This window comes from Homo sapiens, chromosome 15 (assembly GCF_000001405.40).
Source record: "Homo sapiens chromosome 15, GRCh38.p14 Primary Assembly".
Classification (NCBI taxonomy): domain Eukaryota; kingdom Metazoa; phylum Chordata; class Mammalia; order Primates; family Hominidae; genus Homo; species Homo sapiens.
Window position 1 is genome coordinate 59,682,578 of NC_000015.10, and position 7,516 is coordinate 59,690,093.

A 7,516-nucleotide genomic window follows, 5' to 3' on the forward strand; every position below is an offset into this window, starting at 1 on the left:
AATAATCTTATATATTAGTTCATACTTGATGTTTAGTACAATGGTCTGGTCATGAAATTCATTTACAGGGTTGCAATTTTTTTTTTTTTTTAAAGAAAAGAGAATACTCAGACTACATATATTCTGGGAAAGTTAAATACTGTTTATAGTAAGGATACTGTTCAGTGAAAATACTTGTTTTCAGTTGCATGTATAGTATCTCAGGTTATGATTGAAAATATATTTCATACTATGGATTATATTAAAAAATTTGAAGTGGGGTAAGAAATAAAAATGTTCTTTATTACAGACTCATAATTAAATTTTCTGTCCCTTGGATAGAGGTTGATTCTAGACCGTAAATAATAGTAAATCAATAATATTTAAACTCATGATTCAGCAGAGTCAGGTGGTGTGCTGTCTTTCATATTTCCTTCTCAATAGTTTGATGCCACAATTCCTGAGCCACTTAAAGAAGTCTATTCAATAACTTGTCCCGTAAATGAATTATGCAATCTTTTGATTTGTTTCATATCTATACTATGCCCTTCTCATATAGCTCGGCATATGTTTTCAAACACTGAACTTGGTGAATGCCCTTTTATGCAACTACGTATTTTAACATATGCCATGAACTTTAGTTTTAGTTTTTCCAAGGAATCACGTGAGTCCAATATCCTCATTTTAAAAGTAAGAAATCTAGAGATACTCCCTCTGGTGATGGAGTAAGAAATAGAAGTTGAGGTAAGGTAAAGATCAACTGGTTAACAATGCAACAAAACAGTGAAAACTATAGAAGGAAAGAGGTATACACGAGTATTTAGTTCATTTACATTCAAGTCAATAGATGTCTAAAGTTATTCAACAAACAGCAGTAACATATTTCTGTTCTTTTCTTTTCTTTTTGCAGTAACATATTTAAGAGATACGGAGCATCACTAGCAGTACTAAAAATAAAGTTAAAAGTCGTTGACACTAGGCCGGGCGCGGTGGCTCACGCCTGTAATCCTAGCACTTTGGGAGGCCGAGGTGGGCGGATCACTTGAGGTCAGGAGTTCAAAACCAGCCTGGCCAACACGGTGAAACCCAGTCTCTACTAAAAATACAAAAACATTAGCCGGATGTGGTGGCAGGCGCCTGTAATCCCAGCTACTTGGGAGGCTGAGGCAGGAGAATCGCTTGAACCTGGGAGGTGGAGGTTGCAGCGAGCCGAGGTCACACCATTGCACTCCAGTCTGGGTGACAGAGCAAAACCAGTAGCAGAGGAAAGAGGGTGAAATGCAGAAAATGACTAATGCTTTTCATAGTAAGTCCGTCTATACCATTTGATTTTTAAAACAATACTATCTGTGACTTTAAAAGATATTTATTAAATAAAATCAATTATGTCAGCCATTCACATCAACCAGTCTTCTAAAAGAAAAATGTGGTCATGTCCTATAGCTATCTTATCTGCTACGTCAACATTCAAAAGATGCACAAAGTTACAAAGAAAAAAGCCTTATGTTCCGTAATGACAAAATTACAATGGAAATATCCTGAAGTGTTAGATTTCACAAGGTAAACTAAATTTGTATCTCTGCCAAGGCTGGAAGACTCTCTTCCCAGTTTGAATTTTTACTTACCCTCAAGAGAAGGTTTTAAACATTCCCAAAAGGTTTCAATGTTTGATGATACACTTGTTACCACAGAAAAAAAATGGTAGATGCTGACTTTTCCACACCAACTTATTTGCTTGAAAAAGTCATTTACATATAGGAGTAAGGTTTTTAATTCTCTGGGAAAACAATGATCTAGGCAGTTTTTATAAGTTAATGAAAAACATTTAAAATAATCTTTACTTATTTAGCACTTTCTCTGTTGGGAGGGAAAAATAAACAAAAAGAGGGACACCTACCTTACCAAACAATCCCCTCTGTTTAGAACAGAAATAGTAGAAAGGAGCCCACAATTACAATCAACAAGCCCAAATGGTGAAAATACTTACTACTCTAGAATTACAATGCTCAAGTGAGACCAAAGCATGCTATGACTAAAGGCTGAAAACTGGTAAGTCTTTTCTAGATGTTTAATTTACTGTATTTCCCAATGTTTAACTTTTCTTAAGTCTTTGGTACTCACTCTAAAGCGAATGATGTATTTTCCTAAATTCAATAATCAGAAAAGCTTTCTATTATCTTGTCGTACCTTTTTATTGTGTGTTGAAAAACACACCAGGATGTTGTCTGGGTGTCTTTTTCAAATATCTCAAATACTCAGAAAAATATTTAGCATTTCAAAAATAAAAGCAGAAACTGAAAGTTGTACCCAATATATTCCCAACACCTACCATGGTGCCTAGCACATAACAGGCCTATAAAAATTAAGTAAATAATACTTACCTGTAGGGTATGGACACTGGTCAGCAAACCTTTGCTCAATCTCTTAGGCTTATTTTGCTTATTAAACTACATGAATAGGATTTGTCATGTGTTACCCCATAAAAATGTAACAAAAATATTCTGTGGGAAACTACACACCAGCAATATTAATTTCTATTTGTAAAATTGTTCCTCACTGGTAAGAGGAAAGGTTTATCTTGGGAAATTCTAGAAGACAATCCATTCCTTTCAGCTGCTTAACCAATGGAACAAGTTTGTCTCTGTGAAAACAGCTCCTTGAGGCCGGACGTGGTGGCTCACACCTGTAATCCCAGCACTTTGGGAGGCTGAGGTGGGCGGATCACCTGAGGTCAGGAGTTTGAGACCAGCCTGACCAAGATGGTGATACCCCGTTTCCACAAAAAATACAAAAAATCAGCCAGGCGTGGTGGCGCCTGCCTGTAATCCCAGCTACTATGGAGGCTAAGGCAGGAGAATCGCTGGAACCCCAGAGGTGAAGGTTGCAGTGAGCTGAGATTGCACCACTGCACTACAGCCTGGGTGACAAAGGGAGACTCTGTCTCAAAAAACAAAACAAAACAAACAACAACAAAAACTAAATAGCTCCTCGAAACACAGGCAGCCCAAGTCTTTCAGCTATCTCAGCCTATTTATTCCATTTTTACCTTAATATCATATTGAATCATGTGTTAATACCTCAGCACATAGACATGGATATTTAGTTTGAGGATAATCAATTATCTAGTTAAACAGAACTTGGGGAGAGAGATATAGATAGATTTACTCTACCATTTCATCATGAATTTTAGGGGAAAAGTACACTAGGTAGATCAAAACAATTTAAACAATTGAGGGAGTACTGTTTCTTGGAAGCACTTTATCATCAAACAGCTGTTAAGAACAGGAAACAAACAAGAAAGGAGTTAATATAACCACAACCTCTTCGAAGAAAATCAGGATACTGCTGACTCACAAGTTAACTGTTGTTGCTTCCCATTTCTTGTTCATGTATTTTTTTTTGGAAATTAGAATGGGAAATAACACTTTAAGATGATATTTGTTAAAATAACCTGTTGGCACAGGAATAACTTGATTTCTCAATAGATTGACTCTTGGTAGTGGTGGCACATCCTTATGCCACTTACTTGTTGCAGTCATAAAGATAAATTCAAAACAGTTGTTGACCTTAGGTTAAAAATCAAAGAGATAATTGATTCCTTCTGACATAGCTTCAAGGGGGAGGAGTACTGGTAAATCCAACCAGGATGAAGCAGCTTTCCCCAGGCAGTTTAGCAACATAAGCAAAAATTAAATGTTAAGATCACATTTAGGCCAGGCTCAGTGGCTCACTCCTGTAATCCTAACACCTTTGGAGGACAAGGTGGGAAGATGGTTTAAGCCCAGAAGTTCAAGCCTAGCTTGGGCAACACAGTGAGATCTGTCTCTACAATTTTTTTTAAGATCGCATTAGAACTGTTTAGATTATAACACAATTTTACACAGTGATTTTACTATATGCAGTTTAATACTGGTGCTGCAATAGGTGCCAGTAATGACCGTTTATGCGGAAATCAATTACAGTAGGCAGATGGAAACGCCCGGGCAAGCCTTTCACTTCCCCATTTAAACAAAAAGGTTTCATTCTAAACATTTATGTTCACTTTTTAACCAACAGCCTGTATGTTTAGGAGATCACCAAACATGCTTGAAAAAATCCTAGACATGTGCTTGTCATTGCTCCCATGAGGGTAGTTTTCAAACAATGAAATGAACTGCTCTATCAGAAATGTTAACACAAGCCGGGCATGGTGGCTCACACCTGTAATCCCAACACTTTGGGAGGCTGAGGCGGACGGATCACCTGACGTCAGGAGTTCAAGACCAGCCTGGCCAACATGGTGAAACCCCATCTCTACCAAAAATACAAAAATTAGCCAGGAGTGGTGGCACTGGCCTGTAATCCAAGCGATCAGGGAGGCTGAGGCAGGAGAATCGCTTGAACCTGGGAGGCAGAGGTTGCAGTGAGCCGAGATTGCGCCATTGCATTCCAGCCTGGGTGACAGAGCGAGACTGCATCTCAAAAAAGCTAAATAAAATAAAATAAATGTTAACACAAAATTTAGAGGAAAAACTAGAATGGTGCTGAGTTCTCTCGAAATTGTGAAAATAAATCAAAAGATGACTGTGCCACCTACAAAAGTTACATTTATTGTCACTATGCGGAACACACTTGAAAATGCTGAGATCTTTAAAAAGATAATCTACTAACTGATGTCTCAGTTTGTTGTAGTTAGAAATATTAGTTGCAATATAAAACTATAATCGTGGAATATTACTATCACCACATTATACTAGTATTCTGCTTTATAGGATGTAAACTTACTTCATAGGATGTAACATGACATCTTTTCATCCTTTTTTTTTTTTTTTTTGAGACGGAGTCTCACTCTGTCGCCCAGGCTGGAGTGCAGTGCTGCAATCTCGGCTCGCTACAACCTCCACCTCCCAGGTTCAAGTGATTCTTGTGCCTCAGTCTCCCGAGTAGCTGGGATTGCAGGCACGAGCGACCATGCCTGGCTAATTTTTGTATTTTTAGTAGAGATGGGGTTTCATAACGTTGGCCAGGTTTGTCTCATCTCATTGCTTTATCATTTTTTGCTCCTGACCTCAGGTGATCCGCCCACCTTGGCCACCCAAAGTAACAAGACATCTTTCAATCTATCAGCCCGGTAACTTACTAGATCTGGTTACATATACTTTCTCTGACACCTTCCTCCCTATTGTTCCTTCTACCAGCATTACTCCAGATAGAATGAACAGAACTTTTCCAGAGTGCTTTTCACATTTACTAACCACTTTTACATCCATCATCTCATGTTCCAACCAGCAACTTTGGGATGCATGACACTTGTGTTATCATCATTTTATCTTATATATGAGGCAATGACACTACATCCTGGTCCCCATATCTAGTCCGGAACTGTTTCTAATACAGCACACCGTCTCCAGTGCACTGGCAATTTTATACAGAAGAAGCCTGTAATGCCTGATTTGGCCGCACTTAGCTTCAAAGGGCTTGTAATGCCTGAAGACCATAATAGCACTGACTTATGATAATCTAGTTCAAGTTCCGTTTGCAGAAGTGGATCTGTCATACTTCCGGTCTAAGCCCAGCAGTATTAGGCTGCACTAGAGAATATGAAGACTAGGAATAGAGTTTAGAGAAAATGTAAACCAAAAAGAACTAAGAATATGTGCAAAATGATCAAGAAACTAGTCTGCAGGGGTAACTTAATTGGGTAAGGTCAGTTGTAACTTTGAGGAAACATCCATTTACAAATTACAGAATTTGTTTCTACAATTGCAGAGATTCCTATAAAATGTTAGAAAAACTACATTTAATTGAAAATACGAAATCAGGTATTAGGTGAAATAGAGATCCTAATCAAGAGAAGGTGAGAATGAAAAAAGCAACACTAAAATGCAATCACATAGTTTATTCAATTAAATAAATAGGAGGCACCGTAACTATCTTGATGCAACACCGGAAAAGCTGTTTCGTCAAAGAGCTCACAAGACACAGACAAGTAACTCTCCAGCGGCATGAAATGCATCCAGAAATCCAAACCATTTTGCCAGGTATTTAAACAGAAAGGGTTGTGTCTAGATTCACGCGGGGACTCGGCTTTTGACGTACACACTCTGTATTTGGTTTAGCGTACTAGGGAAGATCTATTAAAGCCCTGATTACTTATGCTGCTTCCGTGTCTATTCCCCGCGGTTACGAGGCATACCAGAAGTCCAAGTTTCTTTGTTCTGTACCAGGACGGACGCTGGTCATAAATACTGAACCATCGTAGCCCAGCCACTTCACCCACACCAGGGTAAAAGGGTGGGGGAGCGGAGGAGGGGCAAGGTTCCATCCCGAGCACAACTACCAGAAACGGAAAAGCGACGGGGTGGGGGGCCAAACTGCCAAATACAAACAGGACCCAAGCCAAGGGCGGGGACCTAAGCAGGGCGGGGATCCAGGAAGCACCTCCCGAGCAGGTTCTATGGCTCCCCCTACCAAGGGTAACTCTCTGGGTTTCCTCTCCCCGGACGTCGTGGGCACGCGCCCGACAGACTTTCGCCCCTAGGCCGGTTCCCAGTCCAGCTCCGGAGCCACCGTGCCGAGTTCTCCCAGGCCGCACTCACCCCGGAGGAAGCCTTGGCCCCCTCGTCCTCTTCGCCCCTCCAGGCCGGCGACGTGGGGCTGACGGCCAGGTCGCAAAAAGCAGGGCCGAGCGGAGCCCGCTCCCCTCGGTCGGCGGTGGAGACCCCGGCCCAATCCCCCGGCCGCAGCGGTACGGCGTCGGCGGCAGCAGCTGACCCGGACACAGTGAGAAGCCCCGGCGGAAGTGATAACATCCCGACCTCCTCCGGGCGCGGCAGCCGGCGGTGGAGGCGGCGGGGGCGTGGCGGCGGCGGAGGCGTGGCGTCTTCTTGAAACCCACACAGCATCCCCCCAACCCCCTCAGACGTCACGGGCTAGCGCTCGCGCCTGCACTCGCGGGGTCGGCCTTCCTTGCCTGTGGGCGGACCCGTCGCGTCGACTCCTTATTGGTGGCGTTACTACGCCTCAAGGCGTTTCTTCCCTCTTTGCTGTTCGCAGGGACGCTGCCTGGTAGTTTCAGTTACTTTTGTTTTCTTTCTGCCTGCCTTTATTGATCATTACAGTAGGTGAAATTATCGATATCAATAATAATATTGTAATACAATAGGTGCAATTATCAATATCAATATTATTACAACAGGTGCAATTATCAGTATCATTACAATAGGTGCAATTATCAGCGATCAATAATGTGAATTATAAAATGGATGAAATAAGGGGAGGAGGTCGGGCGCGGTGGTTTACGCTTGTAATCCCAGCACTTTGGGAGGGCGAGGCGGGTGGATTACCGGAGGTCAAGAGCTCGAGACCAGCCTGGCCAACATGGTGACACCTCGTCTCTACTAAACAAACAAAAATTAGCTGGGCGTGGTGGCGCGCGTCTGTAATCCCAACTACTCAGGAGGCGAGGGCGGAGGCGGAGGCGGAGTTGGAGTTTGCAGTGAGCCGAGATCGTGCCATTGCACTCCAGCTTGGGCAACAGAGCAAAAACTCCGTCTCA

General features: G+C 41.9%; 1 protein-coding gene across 8 annotated transcripts in view, besides 2 other annotated features; it reads right to left on the reverse strand.

Annotated features, from left to right (window-relative positions):
* BNIP2 (BCL2 interacting protein 2) overlaps positions 1-6,743 on the reverse strand; it is a 30,175-nt gene extending 23,432 nt beyond the window's left edge. For 7 of the 8 annotated variants that reach the window (NM_001368060.1, NM_001368058.1, NM_001368059.1 and 4 more), the window contains exon 1: positions 6,558-6,743. The gene's annotated coding sequence lies outside the window, so the exon portion shown is untranslated. Of the gene's footprint in view, positions 1-6,154; positions 6,350-6,557 lie in introns of those variants that run through there. The other variant, NM_001320675.4, reaches the window with a different exon arrangement.
* Positions 6,449-7,097: an enhancer, noted in NCBI's record as "H3K27ac hESC enhancer chr15:59981225-59981873 (GRCh37/hg19 assembly coordinates)". NCBI's record gives its function as "activates a minimal SCP1, AML or CMV promoter by ChIP-STARR-seq in naive H9 embryonic stem cells {active_cell/tissue: H9 hESC(naive)}" and the evidence as "EXISTENCE:reporter gene assay evidence [ECO:0000049][PMID:30033119]".
* Positions 6,511-7,020: a silencer, noted in NCBI's record as "silent region_6492". NCBI's record gives its function as "represses an Ori minimal core promoter by ATAC-STARR-seq in GM12878 lymphoblastoid cells {active_cell/tissue: GM12878}" and the evidence as "EXISTENCE:reporter gene assay evidence [ECO:0000049][PMID:35858748]".